The sequence below is a fragment of the Homo sapiens genome, chromosome 16, assembly GCF_000001405.40.
Source record: "Homo sapiens chromosome 16, GRCh38.p14 Primary Assembly".
NCBI lineage: Eukaryota > Metazoa > Chordata > Mammalia > Primates > Hominidae > Homo > Homo sapiens.
Genome location: NC_000016.10, coordinates 48,265,938 through 48,286,087, shown reverse-complemented (window position 1 = coordinate 48,286,087; position 20,150 = coordinate 48,265,938). Strand labels below are relative to the sequence as shown.

Genomic DNA, 20,150 nt, shown 5'->3' with positions numbered 1-20,150 from the left:
GAACTTTGAGGAAACTAAGTGAAGTCAGTCAATTATAAAAAGATAAGTACCGTATGATGCACTTATATGAGGTATATAGAGTAGTCACTCATAGAAACAGAAAAGAGAATGGTAGCTGCCAGGGACTGAGGGAGGGAGAAAGAAACAGGGAATTGCTGTGTAATGAGTATACACCTTCACTTTAACAAGATGAAAAAGTTCTGGAGATTGGCTGCACAACAATGCGAATGTGCTTAACATTACTGAACTGTACACATAAAAGTGGTAAAAATGGGACTTTTTCTGTTATATTTACTAACATTTAAAAAAACTAAAGGAAATCATGTCTAAAGAATTACAGGAAAGTATGAGAATGATGTCTTGACAAATAGAGAATATAAACAAAGATAAATAATAAAAATTTTAAAATAGAAATTTTGGAGTTGAAAACTACAGTAATTTGAATGAAAAATTCACTAGAGGGGCTGAATGACAATTTCAGCTGGCAGAAGAAAGAATCAATGAACTTGAAGACAGGTCAACTGAGATGATCCTGTCTGAAGAATAGAAAGAAAAAAGGCTTTAAAAAAAGTGAACAGCACTTTAGAGACCTACGGGACTCCACAAAGATTACCAACACACCATAATACGAGTTTCAGAAGGAGAGGAAAAAGAAAGGGGCATAAAGAATATTTGAAGAAATACTGGCCACATACTTCTCAAATTTGATGAAAAACATTTACCTACACATCCAAGAAGCTCAAAAAGAACTAAGTAAACTCAGAGGATCACACATAAACACAGTCAATCTGTCAGAAATGAAAGACAAAGAGAGAATACTGAAAACTATGAGAGAAAAATGCTGCCCTCATTAGGCATAAGAGATCCGCCACAAGCTTAACAGCTGGCTTCACAGCAGAAACCACAGAGACCAGAAAGTGGTGAGAGGACATGCGAAAGGGCTGAAAGCAAACAATTGTCAACCCAAATTCTATACCAACAAAATTACTTCAAAAATGAAGGAGAAATTAAGACATTCCCAGAAAAACAAAAACTGAGAATATGTCACCAGGAGATGAGACAAGAAATATGAAAGACTGAAGTTTAAGGACACTAGACAGTATCCACACAAAGAAATAGAGCGCACTGGCAGAAGTGATTACATTGCAAACATAAAAGGCAGTGTAAATATATTGTTGACGTAACTTTTTCTTATCTGATTTAAAAGATAATGGCATAAAGCAGTAATTACAGTTGATCCTTATTATTCCATATTTGCAAATTTGCCTATGTGCTAAAATTTGCAACCCCTCCTCAATACAGGTATACCTCAGAGACACTGTGGGTTCAGTTCCAGACCACTGCAATAAAGCAAATTTTGCAACAGAGTGAGTCACATGTATGTTTTTTTTTGTTTCCCAGTGCATATAAAAGTTATGTTTACACAATATACTATAGTCTATTAAGTGTGCAATAGCATTATGTCTAAAAAACAATGTACATGCCTTAATTAACAAATACTTTCTTGCTATAAAATGCTAATCACCTGAGTCTTCAGTGTTAGTTGTTGTCATTTTGCTGGTGGAGTGTCTTGTCTCAATATTAATGGTTGATGACTGATCAGGTGGTGGCTGCTGAAAGTTAGGGTGGCTGTGGCGATTTCTTAAAATAAGGCAACAGTAAAATTTGCTTCATCTATTGACTCTTCCTTTCATGAAACAATTTCTTATAGCCTGCATTGCTATTCGATAGCATTTTGCCCACCGTAGAATTTCTTTCAAAATTGAAGTCAATCCTTTCAAACCCTGTTGCTGCCTTTATCAACTATGTTTATGTAATATTCTAAATCTTGTTTAGAATTTCAACAAGGTTCACAACATCAAGGTTGTCATTTCAACAAGGTTCATAGCATCCTCACCAGGACTAGATTCCATTTCAAGAAACCCGCTTTCTTTGCTCATCTGTAAGAAGCAACTCCTCATCTGTTCAAGTTTTACCATGAGATTGCAGTATTTCAGTCACATCTTTGGGTTCTAATTCTAGTTCTCTTGCTATTTCTACCACAACTGCGGTAACTTCCTCCACTGAAGTCTGAACCCCTCAAAGTCATCCATGAGGGCTGGAATCAACTCTTCCTGAACTCCTGTTCATGTTGATATTTTGACCTCCTCCCGTGAATCATGAATGTTCTTAATGGCATCTAGAATGGTGAATCTTTTCTAGGGGTTTTCAATGTACTTCGCCCTGATGCATGGGACGAATCATAATCTATGGGAGCAATAGCCTTAAAAAATGTGTTTCTTAAATAATAAGACTTGAAAGTTAAAATAACTCCTTGATCCATGGGCTGCAGAATGGATGTTGTTTTATAAGGAATGAAAACAGTATTAATCTCCTTGTACATCTCCATCACAGCTCTTGGGTGACCAGAAGCATTGACAACGAGCAGTAATATTTTCAAAAGAATCTATTTTTTTTGAACGGTAAGTTTCAACAGTGGGCTTAAAGTACTTAGTAAAACCATGCTATAAACAGATGCATTGTCACCTAGGCTTTGTTGTTCCATTTACAGAACAAAGGCAGAGTAGATTTTGCATCATTCTTAAGGGCCTTAGGGTTTTCAGAATGGTCAATGAGCACTGGCTTCATCTTAAAGTCACCAGCTGCATTAGCCCCTAACAAGAGTTAGCCTGCCCTTTGAAGCTTTGAAGCCAGGTACTGACTTCTCTAGCCATGAAAGTCCTAAATGACACTTCTTCCAATACAAAATAAGGCTGTTTCATCTACATAGAAAATCTGTTTTTTAGTGTAGCCACCTTTATCAATGATGTTAGCTAGATGTTCTGGATAGATAACATGATGCAGCTTCTACAATACATCAGTACTTGCTGCTTCCCTTTGCACTTTATGTTGTAGAAATGGCTTCTTGCCTTAAATCTCATGAACCAACTTCTGTTAGCTTCAAATTTTTCTTCTGCAGCTTTCTCACCTCTCTCAGCTTTCATAGAACTGAAGAGCCTTAGGGCCTTGCTCTGGACTAGGTTTCGGCTTAAGGGAATGTTGTAGTTGGCTTAATCTTTTATCCAGACCACTAAAACTTTCTTCATATCAGCAATAAGGCCATTTCACTTTCTTATCATTGGTGTGTTCACTGGAATAGCATTTCTAATTTCCTTTGAGAATTTTTCCTCTGAACTCACAACTTGGCTATCTGGCACAAGAGGCCTAGCTTTCAACATGCCTTCCTCACTAAGCTTAATTATTTTTAGCTTTCGATTTACAATGAGATGTGTGACTCTTCCTTTCACTTCAACACTTAGAAGCCACTGCAGGGTTATTACTTGGCCTAATTTCAATATTGCTGTGTCTCAGGGAATAGGAGCCAGAGGAGAGGGAGAGAGAAAGGGGAATGCCTGGCCAGTTGAGCAGTTAGTACATACTCAACATTTATTGATTAAGTTTGCTGTCTTATATGGGTGCAGTTTGTGGTGCCCCAAAACAATCACAATAGCAATACCAAAGATCACTGATAACAGATCATCATAATAGATATAATAATGAAAAAGTTAAAAATATTGCAATAACTACCAAAATGTGACATACAGACATGAAGTAAGATGTTGGAAAAATGGTGTCAACAGACTTGCTTGACACGGGGTTGCCATAAACACTTTCTTTCTTTTTTTTTTTTTTTTTTTGAGACAGAGTCTTGCTCTGTCACCCAGGCTGGAGTGCAATGGTGCGATCTCAGCTCACCGCAACCTCTGCCTCCCGGGTTCAAGCTATTCTCATGCCTCAGCCTCCTGAGTGGCTGGGATTACAGGCATGCACGACCATGCCCAGCTAATTTTTGTGGGTTTTTAGTAGAGACAGGGTTTCGCCACGTTAGCCAGGCTGGTCTTGAACTCCTGAGCTCAGGCAATCCACCCGCCTCGGCCTCCCAAAGTGCTAGGATTACAGGCGTGAGCCACTGTGCCTGGCCTGCCATAAACATTTAATTTGTTAAAAAAACACAGTCTGTGAAGTACAATGAAGCACAACACAATAAAACAAGGTATGCCTTATTTAAGGCATTTTTTAACTCCATTCGATATTTGGAAATTATATCATTAATATAGCATGTAGTGAAATAAGAAATTAAAATAATATCTTAGGCCTTAAGCTTTTTATCCTTAAGAGCATGAAGCTGGATTAGATGATGTCTAAGTCCCTCTCTTCTGACATTCTTTGACAATAATTGTATAGCTCAAATCAAAAGATCATGTCTACTGTATCTAAGTAGTAAATATACTATTGGTCTAATTACTAACTGGATCTAATTCGAATTAAGTAAGAACTTCAGTTTTAAAGGAAGTTTACTATATCTAGACTAGTGACTTCTCTATTTTGGGGAATATATGTTTTTCGAACTGTAAATATTATTGCCTATAAAGACAATTAATTATTGTATCCATGCATTTTATTTGCCCACTCACACAAAAATGTATTTGAGATATGCATTCATATTTAACAATAAAGTCTGGACATGTGCCAGTTATAAATATAACATATATCTGGTAAGAAAATAATTCTGTAATTTTCTTTCAAGTCTATTAATTACATACAAGCCCTTACTTTCCTTATATCTAATATTTTAGTGCTACTCAGTTATAGACTTGCCCAAATTCTACTGCCTACCACCATTTATTAATTAAGTAGTTGGACCTATTTTTATAGTCTTCCAATAAATTTTCAAAAGAGATCATCTAAATTTTGAATTCTCCTTTTTTGGACAATATTAAGTAATAACTTGAAATACATTCTGTTTTACATAAGCAACAATTACATGGTAGGTCAAGGAAACGGGCATATCCTACATAAATAAAAAGAAGAATACACAGCAGAAAAAGTTTATTCTTTATTCAGAGTAAGCACTCTAGTGTATATTTACATCTACTATTACATTCTTCACATCTGGGCTATATTACCTTAATAATATAATTAGCTTAAACATAAAATAATCTTATACATTTTACAAATAATATCTAGATATCATTTTTTAAAAGCAGGTTTTCTATGTAGAAAGATAATAAAACTATACTTGGGTCTCCAAACTCTCAGGAATATTCACTTTAAATGTAACGTGTTGTGTAATTGAGTTTGTTCTTTTTTTAAATTTAAGTGAACCTACTGGCAATGGAAGCAGCAAGTGGCTTTCAAAATGGACACAGAAGAAATATCAGTGGATATTAAATTAACATCTGTACAGTACTTTACCATTTATAGAGTGCTTTAATATGTACTGTTATTTAATTGTTTCAACAATCTGTGAGGTCTGAGGTTTTTACCCAGGACTTGGGCAAGCAGGGAGGAAGAGGCTGTCAGCTACCAAGATACTCAGTTCCTCCATATGTATGTCTTGCTTCATTTTATAGCATTTACAGTCTGTAAGGAACCAATGCTATTCATAACTAAACTACAGTGATTAGTACGTGGGCCCAGGGGGCATTTACTCTGAGATATCATTTGAGGTTTTCATACCTTTTTTTTGAATGCTAATAAATCGACTGCCAAAAAAGTGAGTACCAAGGTCTACATCAGACAAGAAAATATCATTATGCTAGCTGCTTGTTATCAAAGATCAATTTAACAAATATTATTGAATCATTACAAAGTATATATAGGTGAAGACCTAAAACATATTGTTTATCAACTGAACAAATAAACAGGGGACTTAATCATCTACTACTACTTGTAAAGCTGTCTTTGGTGAACTTGCTTCAAAACAGTTGTTGAAAAAATTTAAGTGTCAGGGGAATACTCTAAAATTATTTTCAACAGGATAACTGTAAGTGTCTAATGGGAGAATCTGTCAGATAACCTGAAAAAATGTCCCAATATAAATTAAACTGAAAGTCTAAAGATATTATATAAGAAACTACTAAAATCTTAAATAATGTTCACTATTTTACTCTTCATAGTAAAAAGAACCAGTTATGGAGCCAGAAGGTAATGATCTTACAATAAAAAGTAGCAAAACTGAACCAAATCAAACCCTTACCTCCAAATACCAGGGCTTTTAAGTAAGGTAACTGTACTTTTTTATCGTCCAAACAAAACCCACTTCTGAGACTAAAAAAGAGTGCAATTAATATTAGGCATAAACTGGGAATGTGCCAAGCAAACCAGAATGTATGGTCTCCTGCTTAATAAGACACATGTCCCAGGCCATCCTGTTCTAAGATCACAAAAACAGAAAAAAAACAGGAAGCACGAGGCAGCTCAAAGCACAGAAATAAACAAGAAAAAAATAAAAACTTTCACAAAGTAAGTTTTCCTCAATTTTACAAATCAATTTGCATTAATAATATTTTAAGCAAGGGTAAAAGGGAGGAGGGGCTGATGTGCTAAAATAAGGAGGACTGGCTGAAATAAATTTAGGAAGCAGTCAGATCCCAGATCCCCTCCCCCACCCCAGCAAAACACTGGAAGTTTATTTTCTTAAGAACATAAAACAGTGGTTCTCTGCACAGGGGACCCTGGGCACAGCTGATAAGAACATATACTATGCTGAAAACAAGAGCTCAGGTGAATGCATATACACGGATGCTGAATGCAGTGATACCCCCGACCCCAATCATTCTTCCCCTGCTTGGTTCCCAGAATGATGGCAGCCAGGCCTTCATTCTCAAGGCAAGAGACAGGAAGTCTTCTCTGAGGAATCTGACCATCCTAAGAAGGAAGACTTAAAGCTATTGAGTAGAAGATTCCTCAACCAAACAGCACAGCCAGCTGACTCTATTGTGGAACTCACTGTTGATAAGCCCCACTCCTATGCTCATAGCCTCCAATCAGCCTTTTTGTCCCTTACTATTAAATATAAACACACAAACAAAAATGTCCAGATATCTAATGAAAGACTCTAATATAAAAGAGACTAAAAGAAATATATAATAAACAGATAAAAGCAGCTTAAAGAGAAGTAATTTTTTTCTTTTTCTTTTTAATATACCAAGTGGTCAGAGAAGTAAAATTTTAAAATATATCTATAAGTATCTTTCTCATGGAGATAAGATATATTACAACTATGTAACAAGAACAGGATACTATAAAAGAACATGCAGAGAAAGTTTTTGAAATAATAAATTCAGAGGGTTTTTAAAAGATAAATCTGAGAAAGTCTGCACAGAAAGTAGAGCAAAACATAAAAGTGGAGACTAATAGGAGAGAAAAGATAAGTCTGAAACATAATATCCAAGTCATGGGAGTTCCAAAAAATAAAGGGGAAAAGTCATCAATAAAAGAATTTAAGAAAAATTTTAGAACCAAAGAACAGGAAGAATTCAAAGAAAGAATGAGCAAAAATGCATGAAAAGAAACCCATGCCAAGGCAGATTATTAGGAAATTTCAGAATCCCAGGATAAAGGGAAGAACCTGAAAGTTTTCAGGGTAAAGCAGGTCTGCAAGGATAGGAACTGAATGGAATCAGTTTTACCAACAGCAACACTGGAAATGGGAAAGTGAAGTAAAATGGAGGCAAAGTACAATTCTATAGAAAAATTATTTCCAACCAGAATTCTTTACTCAAATTACTAATCAAGTATGAGGGAAACATAAAGACATTTTCAGATATGCAAAGTCTAAAACATTTACCACTCATGCAAGCTTTCTCAGGAAACTATCAGGGAGTTAACACCACAAAAATGAGGGAATGGACCAAGAAAGAGCAAGAAATGGAATACAGGAGACAGGAAATCCAACATGGTGAGAGGTGAAGGGAGAACCTAGGAAGGAAGCCATAAAACCGGATGTCAAAAACAACCAGTTCAGACCGGACGCTTAAGAAGATAAAATGGATAGAACACCTAAAGTGTCTGAAGGTCTTGACAGAATTAGACGATTGGTGAAAAAGTAAACAAAAGAAACAAGACAGCTAACTCTGAAAATATTCTTAAAAAGTAGAGAAAAACAAAAATAGGAACAGGAAAAGTGATCACAGTTTACCATGTGGCTCCTGCTGTGAAAAGCATTTACATAATCATAATAATGTAAATACTAATATGGATGTATTAGTATTCACAAGAAAAAAACAACAAAAAAACAAGAAAAAAATTCTTATTGCGAGATCTAAGGTATAAAAATGATACAGTGGGGACAACGGAAGAAAAAAGGTAAAATCTTCACCTCCTGTTGGGGGGCATCTATAGAAAATGACAAAAACTAAAAAAAAAAAAAATCAGGAAGTGCAAGATAGCCATGCTATTTTGAAAATAGGGTTAATCAACTAAAAGCTGAAGAGGTCAAAGTGCAGAAGAAGGCATGGGGGACCCCAGGGAGAAGGAGACTTGCTTGCTGTTTTTTTTGCCATAACTGTGTAGAATTGTTGGCCTCTAGATAATAAGTGTGCACAAAACTTTGTTAAACTATCTGATTAAAATACAAAAGGAAAATAAAAAAAAAGGGGACTTAGTGAAAGAAATCTCAAAAACATTTTAATTTAAGTGCCAAATTGCTCAGACCTCAGCCGGTATCAAACTGTTTTTCCCATAACTAAAGCTACACCACTGTGTATATCACTTGAATATGATTATCAACCCTCCTCCATACTCTTCCAGTATGAAGACAGACAGGGAATTTTCCAAATCTTACCTCAAGCAGAGCTGCTGCTGGATCACCCTGTAGACTTTTTCCCAGTTTGTCAACCTCATCTAATAGGAACACTGGGTTGTTCACTCCCACAGTCTTCAAGCCGTTGATGATGCGACCAGGCATGCTGCCAACATAGGTGCGCCTAGAGAAAGCAAGTAGCACATTCACAGTGTGAGATGTCAGGAGGCAGGAGCGACGCCATTCAGAAATCAAAACTTAGGAATGTGAAAAGATCATTTAGCTATCACTATAATATAGCAAAGAGGTACTATGTATTTAAAAGGCACTATGATAAATCAAAAGTTATTATATTCAATTCTAATCTTATCTTCTACTTAATTCTGGCTACAAGTTGCCCATGATATTGGAAGAACTGTATCACATTTTGCCATTTGGTGAAATGAAGAAACACGACACTTAAGTCACCAGTTACGGTTCTTACTCTTCAAGATTCCAAAATGTCCAAAGTACCCTATGAATTCCCATGCTTTCCATGATTTTTCTGAGCATCCCCCTACCCAACGCAACCACCTTTATGCACACTGAAATGGCTGCCCCTGGGCCAGCTAAAACATCATCATCTTCATGAAGGAAATTAAAATCAGTTCAAACAGCCACTCAGAATGCAGACCAAAAACAACAACAAAAAAGAAAAACTCCAATCTCTTTTATTTTCAGAGGAAATAATCTATTAATTATAGTATAAGGATCTGGGGTCAACAGTATTTATATCAGAATTCCATTATTCTGTCCTTTTGAACAAAACTGTATTCATCCCATATGCACTAATTGGCAATAACCACGTTCAGCCAGCCAGGTATTTTGTTGAACGTTAAAATGTGAGAGCCTGCTTTATTGTATTTGGACAAGAATCACCCACATAATTATGACAGATGTAGAGTGTGGCATGAAATAAAAACACATAAGTTTATCAAACCAAAAAAGGTGTCTTTTTTACAAAGCCAGCAAAACTTAAAGCAGCAATTTACTAATTTTAATTATAACCCTGCTGTCTATGTTGTGCAAAGCAAATGCTGTCTCTGAAAAGGCATAAAAGCCTGACTGCCGAGAAGAAAATGATCAATGACAAGTGGAACAGCCACAGTTACCTCATGATCTGCACAAAGCCGATTCACAGAGCAGGCCTGATTTCTGCCACATGACTGGTATAAAGTAGGACAGAATAAACAGAGTGAACTTTGAAAAGGCAAGCAAGCCTTAAAAATATCATGGGAATGCCTTTCATCCGGGAAAGGTGACTAAGGCACAGGGAAGCAAAGGCAATAAACATTGTCCTGTTAATATAAGGAATTAGCACATTCAAGATTTCAGAATCAGATACAGGAAAGACGAGACTCAGAATTTATAAATTCTTTCCAATTATTTTTCTAGAGAACTTACAGATTTGCCATTACTCTGATTTTTAAGAGTGGTAGGGAAGGGAATTTTTTTAAAGAATCTCAAAGGCTCTAATGGGTCATTTTTTGCTGCAGTTATTTATTTGCCTTTCCTTTTTTGATGAGTAAACTTCAAAAACAAGTACTGACAATTCTACACCTGAAGTCACAGAGAGAAAATAATATTCTAGGTAGGCACCCTTTCTAAAAAAATTGGAATCCTAGATTCTACTCACACTGTATATAAGCAATTCCTCTTACACTTTCCATTGCTTCCCAGAGCCTACAGAATAAGGTTCAAATTCCTTTGTCTGGAGTTCGAGGCTTTTCACAATCCAGCTCCCATTCATCTTCCCAACTTGCTGCCATTACTTTCTTGCTTCAACCACAATCAAGATACTATTACGCCCCTTAAAAATTTTTACCTTTCTTAAAAATATGGTGCCTTCCTGCCCTTAATACTCCTCTTCCTGCTACGTAAATCCCAACAATTCTAAGAAACTTTTTCTGACTACCTCTCACAAAGGGATCGCTCTAATAATGCAATGTCTACAGCACTTACTGGCCCCATAACTCATCTGATGGTTACTTACAACCTAGTTTTTATTCATGGGTATAATAACCTCCTCTATAGAGCCAGTGAGCACTTTTATGACAGAGACGGGGTCTTACCACAGAGTAGAGGCTAGATATAGAGCTGTAAGATTGTTCCCCACCAGATCCACCGTGCCAGCACTCAAAGCATCTTTCCATCAGCACTCTAAAGGTAACACAGTACAAGCCTCTGAATACTATTTTGGGCAAATTACTTGACCTAAGCCTCAGTTTCCTCACCTATAAGATGGGGAAAATAGTGTCAACCTGGTGGGTTATATTAATATAAGGATCATGAGAGAACACAGGCAAAGCACACAGCACGGTCCCTGGCACACAGTGAGCTTTCCAGTGATGCTCATCATTATTAGCAACAGCTACTTAAAGTTTACTTCTGGTTTCCTGGAAAAAGCACAAGAGCAGAATTCAGTACACCTGAATTTGAGTCCCATTTCAATTTCTGCCTCATGGAAGCAACTTTTGCAAATGTCTTTTATAGCAGACAAGAGAGAAAAATATAGGCATTTCACCATCCACTCTTCCTACCTATTCAATTAAAGGGCTCGGCTCCCGCAGGCTATAATGCAAACTGTTAAAATAAAATTTACAAAGAATTTGGAATAGAAAAGAGTTTAAGTGTTACAATGTTAAGTGAAAATGACAGGATTACAATTCTGTTACTTAAAATCCAATGATAAGTCTGGCAGAACAAAACAAATGTTAACAGTGATTATCTTTGTACGGTAGAAAAACATGAGGATTTTTTCCCCTTATTTTTCACATTTTCTACCAAGGGTGTGTGGATGTGTGGGTGTGGGTGTGGGTGGGTGTGTGGGTGTGTGTGTGTATCTCAAACTGGAAAAAGGAATCAGTTTAAAAAAGATCCTAATGATCTCAAAAAGAAAAACAGTCTTTAAGAAACTGGGATTTTAATGTATAATAGCATGTCTAAACAAATGCAATTATTCTTCTGGTAGTCATTCCTAAATCTTTTTATAGACTAATTTGTATGGGTGTACTCGTCTAAAGGGTTGCATAACTTCCAAAATATTATGTTTTAATCTTACATGAATTCACAAAACACCCAGAGAGCGCTCACCACATTTAGCACCATGTTAAATAAGCATCATGGGGTACATAAAGGAGATAGACGATAAATCCCCTGCCTGAGAAAGCTTGTACTTTTTATAAACGTATTTATGTTTCATCTCCACAGTTGTATGGTAGAAATGCCAGAGGCCCGTATTCGATAAAGGAGCACAATAGGTGGTCAGTTTAGAGAAGAGTGAAATCATAACTGACTGCACTTACATTAATGGAGGAAGCCTTGGGTTGAGGCCTTAAAATAAACCTAAGTTTTGGAGAGGCAAAGAAGAGCTACATGCAAATGTAAGTTGAAAGGATAGTGGGCAAACCATAATATATCTGGTACACTATGCTAAAAAAATACATTAGAAGCTTGCTGCTTCAGTTATTTTTCCCTTGTAGAAACTAATAATGAAATAGTTTATTTATAACTTTACCATTTCAGGTTGCATATGAAAATGTATCAATGTGGAAATCACAAGTTCATTTTTCTTCTCATCTTGTTTGAAAGTTGAGACAAGGATTTCTTGCAATAATATAATTTTATTATCTAAGTAAACAGCTGGTAAAGTATTTCTAGGAGTTAATATCCACAGTGATTTAAGATATATCATAACAATAATATATTATTTCTTTTTACCAAAGAACAAATGAAAAACAATTATGCAAACATTATTTCATAAAACTTCATCTTAAAAGAAGTTAGTTACCTTATATTTGTGTGAATTGACTTAAATTATTTAAATGTAATACTTAAATATAAAAATTTAAGTTGTTAAAACTGATAGAAGGGAATGAGTATTTTGTGGCTTACAAAGTGGACAGAAAAATCACAATGGAGATAAATCCAAATGAGAAATATCGAAAAGACTGAAAAACTGAATGAGTTAATACGTAGCATAAACATTATTCTTCCTTTAAGCTACTCAAAACAATACAGACAAAAATGAGGCAATGTTTAGTCAGATCACTATTATTTTCCAAGTTTAAGATTAAATATTAAGGCAAGCCTCTCTTTTGCTTCCCCATCTCCCACCTCATTATCATTTAACCATAAAAAACATATCTTTGCTTGTTTTTAAAATCAATCCCCAACTTATCGGCATCCTTCTTCTCATACGCAGGTACTTTTAGCAAAAGGAAAGTGTTCCACACATGGGAAAACAGGGAGAGTGAGTGGCAAAATCGAGAGGATAAGCAAGGACAATAACAAAGCAGCTTTCTTTTTCCCTGGCTTTCTTTTTCCTTGGCTATTCTAAGGCTGCGGAACAGTGGTGCCTACTCAAAGGCTGAGGAAAAACAAAACTTTTCATGAACTCTAACTGTGAGCATGTGACCGGTACTCAAACGTCAAGACCTGGGTTGTCTCCCAAATGCCTCAACTGTCACATGGAACCACATGTTCCCCCAGGCACACCCATGGTTGTGCTGGAATTGTCGGTTGTTCTTTCTCTCCTCCTCCTATTCACCTTCAATTCATAACTGACCTAAGTGCATGCTCTGCCCTCACCCTTTCCTCAACAACTGAACCCCACTACTCTCCACGTGCTTCCAAACAGGGTTTGAAATAAAATTTTTCACCAGGCTTTAATAATTCACGGGGTAGATGGGTAATATGTCCCCAACAGCACAAGGGCAGGTTGCTATAGTAGTTAATCAAACATCTGGTACACTGATGGCTAAGTAACACTTACCAGCAAGGTGTATCTAAAATCAGGCTGAATAGAATGATTCACAAAACAAATCCTTATACTTTTTACTCGGCAACAATCACAGCCTCCATATATACGTTTCTAAAAAGGTTATATTTACAAATATTTTAGGCAATGGTGATTGTAACACAACCTCCTTTTACAAAAGACCCATAAAGTCAATTCTTATTTTCTTCAGACTCAATTTTCTTAATACAGTCACATACACAAAAGCATATTCACTTGAAAAAAAGAACAAATTTTATATGTCAGTAAGGATTTAAAATAGAGATTTATTTTAATCCAGTGATGTTTGTAAGTGGTGAGAACCATGACACTATACACTGTCCATTAGTAGGCAACAGAAAAATGCATTTTCCCATAATTCTGCCGTATAAATTAAGTAATAATGCTGAGAATAGGATAAATATTTTAGAAGGCAATTAAAAAATCAGATTGAAATTTATAAAAACTCATACTGAAGCTTGTAAATCTAAATTTGTCCTCCTGAGAATTTATTAATAGAATTTAAATAATGGTTAAAGCTAATTTTTAGTGAATGCTCACTGTGTGTCAGGTATTGAATAAGTGCTTTCCAAGCCTTATCAAATAATCAATACCAATGTGAAAAGAAATAAGAACAAATTACCTACATGTCACGTGCTTATGATGTCAATTTCACATAGCATTAATTCCACGAACTCACTCTCTAAATGCCATCAAATACTTACTCTGTAGCTAAAATTAGAAGATTTAGGCCCTAGACGCAGCTTCTTTGAGTTTGGTCCAAGAGAAATGCCAATTCCTTTACGAAAGCAAACTATAGCCTCTAGTGGTACATGCAAGAATAAGAAGTCTAGGCAACAAAAATATCTTTTGAAATTGCCAGAAGAAATCACCCAAATCAATTCTCTACTCTGATCTGCACGCCTCATTGTTTATTTACTAAAATCTTGTGATGAGTCTTTTTTAAAATTTATTATTATTATTTTTTTAGAGATGGGGTGTCACCAAGTTGCCCAGGCTGTTCTTGAACTCCTGAGCTCAAGCAACTGCCTGCCTTGGCCTCCCAAAGTGCTGGGATTACAGGCATGAGCTACTACACAAGGCCAGTAATGATACTTTTTAAATGCGTAAGAATTTTAAGTGAGCAAATAAAAGAGAATAAAAATAACCATTTCTTATAGAAAAGTTTCTGAAACAGTTTCCCATCCCTGTCTATGGATAGGGATCCCTTTGAATAAGGCACATAGAAAACAAGATATTAAAAAAGCATCATATTCTTTTATAAGCAGTTCATGGTTCCTACATTTAAACATGTTCTTTAACACATACACTATAGGTATGTTTTCTCACAACTTACAATTGCTATGAATCCCTTAAACCACGAAATGTAAATTCATGCTTTCCCAAGGCAATTTCCATCAGATCAACAAAGAGACCAGTGAGAACAATGAATGCAACATGCAAATCTGATTCTAATAATGTCAGATTAATCAGAAACAGTTTTGTTGTTGTTTGTTTGTTTGTTTGTTTGAGATAATGTCTCTGTCTCCAGGCTGGCGTGCAGTGGGACAATCATGGCTTACTGCAGCCTGGACCTTCCCAGGCCTAAATGATTCTCCCATCTCAGCCTCCTGAGTAGCTGGGACCACAGGTGCATGCCACTGTGCCTGCATAATTTTTTAATTTTTGTGGAGACAAAAATTAAAATTTAAAATTAAAAAATTTAAATATAAATTTTGTAGAGACAAAAGTGTTTCCCTATGTTGCCCCGGCTGGTCTCAAACTGTTAGGCTCAAACAATCCACCCACCTCAGCCTCCCAAAGTGTTAGGATTACAGGCATGAGCCACTGTGCCCAGCCTAGAGGGACAGTTCTTACAGTTTATTGTTTTTTTATAGAAAGTGAGTCCAAAATGCAAGAATAAGCCTTAATAATTATGCTAACATTTATCCTTATTACTCATATTCATAATACAAACCAACCTTCATAAGAGGAAGTTTAGACTGCAATCAGAACAAGTTTGTTATCAAAGACTTCTCACCTCCTCCTATTGGCCCTCCCTATTGCAGTTACTTTTTTTAACTCTGAGAGTTAGGGATCATTATTTATGGCATGCTACTGGGTTGAAAAGAGTGTAAAGACATAATAATATCCAATCATAAATAACTTATAATTACATTCAAATGAGATTCCAGGAAAGTTGAGGCACAGAGTAGTATCCACTGTCATACAAATCAAGGTTAGTTTGGGTTTATCATTACGCTTAGAGGCTCTAGGCTAGCTGATACTTCTTGTAAATGTCCTTTTCATTCAAGGTACCACACATAGCCCTTTAAGGAAAATAGATGTATGCTATGCCTAAGCTTTTAGGGAGCTCTAGTCAATTAAAAAGAAAGAGGAATCAGAGATTAAACTGAGAGAAGTGTTCTACCTGTGTCCTCGAATGTCAGACTGATCACATACTCCTCCAAGTGCAATCCTGTGGAACTCTCGACCTAGAGTCTTGGCCACTGATCTTCCCACACTTGTTTTACCAACTCCAGGAGGGCCAACAAAGCATAGGATTGGGCCCTTCAGGTTATTTTTGAGCTGTCTGACAGCCAAGTATTCCAGTACTCTTTTCTTCAATTTTTCCATGGCGTAATGGTCATTATCCAGAAGAATCCGGGCTGCCCTAATGTCCAGGCGGTCTGTCAAATAACCCAACAGAAATAATTAGAACACATAAAATTTTTAAGTTAAAGAACTCCTTTCAAGCATGACGAGGGCAAAATATTTTTTTTGAAAATAGATGTGATAAGAACAGACTTGGATCTTTCTAGATGAGGATTCTAGGAGATCTGCATTTGGTTTGGTTTCTCTGCTTAAGACTTAGTGTCCCCAGAGATAGTAGGCACTACACAATTAAAAACTCAATGTTCATATCATTTTATTTGGAATGATTTTCTAGTTATGCATTACTTCTTAATTTCTACATATTGTATGTGTGCTGGCATTTGTTTTTTAAAAAAAAGGGTGATTTTTTTCCTTATTTCAGTAGTAACATATGTTCATTCCAGAAAACCTGATAACACTAACAGAAAAGAAGAAAACAGTTACCCATAATCTCATGCCCCCAAGAGATCACCACTACCTTTACTTCAGTATGTGTAATTCCAGGCTGTGTGCGTGCATTTACAAACCTATTTTTCAAAATGGGATTTTATGGGGCCTTTAAGTTTTGTAAAATGTTTTTTTCACTTAATATATGACAGACAACTTTCACTGTCACACATATATTTATCAGTAACATTCTATGGTTACTTAATGTTCCATTACTAAATTATCTATATTCATTTAACTAATTCCCTACTGCTGAGCATTCAAGTTGTTTACACATCTTTACATTTATAAAAGATGCTTCAACTGTGCATCACTGGAACTAAATCTTCCCATATATCTGCAATGATTTCTTTCAGCTTATCTTCTATGAACAGAAGTGCTGGGTCAAAAAAAAAAAAAAAAACAGATGATGTAAAGAATTGCCTAATTGCCACACAGAAAGTTGTATCAAAGTCTCACCAGAAGTGTATGAGTTAGGCTTTGTTTCTAGAGCCAAGCTTTCAACAGGTTTACTAATAAGATTTAGCATTTAAAATACTCAGATTAAACACCAGGTAACAGAAGCCAAAATGAATTCACTAGCTGGGTGGCTGCCAGGGTATAATACACAGCCACCTGATCATGCTGGCAGTGAAAGAAGAAGATGGGAGAGAGAAATACACAGAAATCTTTTAATTAATTAATACATATCTTTTAATTAATTATTTAGAATTTGCTAAGGATATTTCATAAAGGAAAAAAATGGCCTGAGATGGTAATTTGGTTCCCAAGCTAGTCCCCCAAAAAACCTAGCTAAGCAGTAAACTATATAATTTAATTATAGTACTATTGATTTTAGTCAGAGTCCTAGGTGAGTGAAGTAGGAGAAGAACAACTAAAATTTCTTCCCCCTTTCCTGGCTCCAGAACCCAACCAATGAATATATGAAGAAGTGAAAGATAGAGAGTTTCTCAATTGTTTCACAGTGCTAGCCCTGACACTAAAACCTACCACAGTAAACATAAAAGAAAACCTCAGACAAATCTTTTTATATAGCTGTAAATATTAAAATGCTAGTAAATCAAATCTATAAAGAATAATATACTAAGTCCCAGTGGGATTTATTTTAGTTATGCAAACATGGTTCAGTGTTAGGTCATCAATGTCATCATGTTCAAGAAGAGTAAGTTTCCATCAAAATATCATCTTGTACCTAAAAAGGTACTTGTTATAATGCGTTATCCATTCATGATTAACACATTCAGTAAGGTAAGAATAAAAGTCAAGATAATTTAGAAAAGACTGAAAACACTGTGAAGAAATTTCTTGCAAGAAATATGCCAAGTAAAGACAATTTTAAAAGTTCTTTCAATCTTTTAAGTAAAGGTGATTTCCATGCTGTATAAATTATTTTCTATCTTTTCTATACAGGATATATTTTTCTAATTATTCTCTTTAATGATTCAGAAAGCATGCTTCCTGTTTTGAATAACATGTGATTACATGTAAAAAATTTTTCAAATTTCAATATAAATTTCCTTATTTATAATTAGAAGATTGAAATGGTATCTACTGACTCCTCTAAGCTGGGAAAATCTGCAAACATATTTCCTACAACTCTTTCCTCTCTGCTTTCCTTTTTGTTTTCGGTTACTATCTGAGATCTCTACTTGGTAGGTAAACTTCTCTTTCAGAAATTATGAATGGGGGGCCAGGCTCGGTGGCTCACACCTGTAATCCCAACACTTTGGGAGGCCGAGGTGGGAGGATCACTTGAGGTCAGGAGTTCGAGACCAGCCTGGCCAACATGGTGAAACCCCATCTCTACTAAAAACACAAAAATTAGCTGGGCATGGTGGCAGGCGCCTGTAATCCCTGCTACTCAGTAGACTAGGGCAGGAGAGTCACTTGAACACAGGAGGCAGGGGTTGCAGTGAGCTGAGATCACACCACTGCACTACAGCCTGGCCGACAGGGCAAGACACCATCTCAAAAAACGAACAAACAAACAAACAAAGATATTTAGGCTGGACACAGTGGCTCAGGTCTGTAATCCCAGCACTTTTGGAGGACAAAGCAGGCAGATCACTTGAGGCCAGAAGTTCGAGACCAGCCTGGCCAATGTAGTGAAACCCTGTCTCTACTAAAAATACAAAAATGAGTTGGGTGTGGTTGCAAGCGCCTGTAATCCCAGCTACTTGAGAGGCTGAGGCAGGAGAATTGCTTGAACCCAGGAGGCGGAGGCTGCAGTGAGTCAAGATCACACCACTGCACTCCAGACTGGGTGACAGAGCGAGACTCCATCTCAAAAATATATATATGAATGGCATTTTCATGGTTTTATAACCACACTCACAATTATCTAGACATAATCCTGTGTAGTAATGGTTTAGGAGCTTAACATGACTCCTTTTATACCATAATTTATTCATCTTCAGTTCTTTGTGCTATGTGCAATGCTAAACAATGGAATTATTTTCATGATGGATACATGGCTGCTACACATCTCTAGTGCTGACACACATGGCATCTCAGAGTACCAAGAAATGTTTCCTTTCAACTAAAAGGCAGTATTTTGTCACGACATGCAAACATTACATAAATTTAAAAATAAATTTACTACCACAGTTCACAGTAGCTTTATTTTTTGATATTTTATTAAATATTTTTATTTCATTTATTATTTTATTTTTTTAAATAGAGTTGGGGTCTTCCTGTGTTACTCATGCTGGTCTCAAACTCCTGGGCTCAAATGATCTGTCCACTTTGGTCTCTCAAAGTGCTAGGATTACAGGTATGAGCCACTGTGCCCAGACAGCTTTATTTTTAATAGCCAAAAAACTGAAAACAACCCAAATGTCTATCAACAGATGAATTGATAAACAAATGATGGTATATCCATACAACAGAATACAACTCCAGCAATAAAAAGAAACAAATTACTGTTATATACAGCAACATGGATGAACCTCAAAATAATCATGCTGAATTAAAGAAGCCAGAAAAAAGGGCTCATACTCTATGATTCCATTTATATGAAATTTTAGAAAATACAGATTAATCTTTAGTGGTTGCTTGGGGATTAGGAGGCAAGGAGGAAAGGGGCGGGGAAGAAGGAAGGGATTATCAAAGAGCATGAAGAAACTTTTGGAGGTGAGGGTTATGCTCATTATCTTAATTATGGTGATGGTATTACAGATGTATATGTAAGTCAAAACTCATCAAAATGTACATACTACATTTGTGAAGTTTACTGTACGTCAATTACACTTCAATAAAGCTCAAAAAAAAAAAAAACCTTTCTCCAAAGAGAAATTAAGGGCCAGACGCAGTGGCTCACGTTTGTAATCCCAGCACTTTGGGAGGCCGAGGCAGGTGGATCACTTGAGGTCAAGAGTTCGAGACTAGCCTGTCCAACATGGTGAAACCCCGTCTCTGCTAAAAATACAAAAAATTAGCCGGGTGTCATGGCAGGTGCCTGTATTTAAGGCTACTCGTGAGGCTGAGGCAGGAGAATCGCTTGAACTTGGGAGGCAGAGGTTGCAGTGAGCCAAGATCATGCCACTGCACTCCAGCCTGGGCGACAAGAGTGAAACTCCTGTCAAAAAAATAAATAAATAAATAGAAATTAAGGAAACAATCTCATTTACAATAGTTTCAGAAAGAATGAAATACTTAAGTACAAAC

The 20,150-nt window shown here is 36.2% G+C and overlaps 1 protein-coding gene across 7 annotated transcripts in view, besides 1 other annotated feature; it reads right to left on the bottom strand.

Annotated features, from left to right (window-relative positions):
* The window catches only part of LONP2 (lon peptidase 2, peroxisomal), a 118,704-nt gene that overhangs the window by 76,916 nt on the left and 21,638 nt on the right, over nucleotides 1-20,150 (bottom strand). For all 7 annotated transcript variants that reach the window (NM_001348078.2, XM_047434738.1, NM_031490.5 and 4 more), the window contains 2 exons: nucleotides 15,814-16,072; nucleotides 8,609-8,750 (listed from right to left, as the gene is read on the bottom strand). In NM_001348078.2, the coding sequence (NP_001335007.1) occupies nucleotides 8,609-8,750; nucleotides 15,814-16,072 (401 nt within the window). The remainder of the gene's footprint in view (nucleotides 1-8,608; nucleotides 8,751-15,813; nucleotides 16,073-20,150) is intronic.
* Nucleotides 2,300-2,826: an enhancer, noted in NCBI's record as "NANOG hESC enhancer chr16:48317173-48317699 (GRCh37/hg19 assembly coordinates)". NCBI's record gives its function as "activates a minimal SCP1, AML or CMV promoter by ChIP-STARR-seq in primed H9 embryonic stem cells {active_cell/tissue: H9 hESC(primed)}" and the evidence as "EXISTENCE:reporter gene assay evidence [ECO:0000049][PMID:30033119]".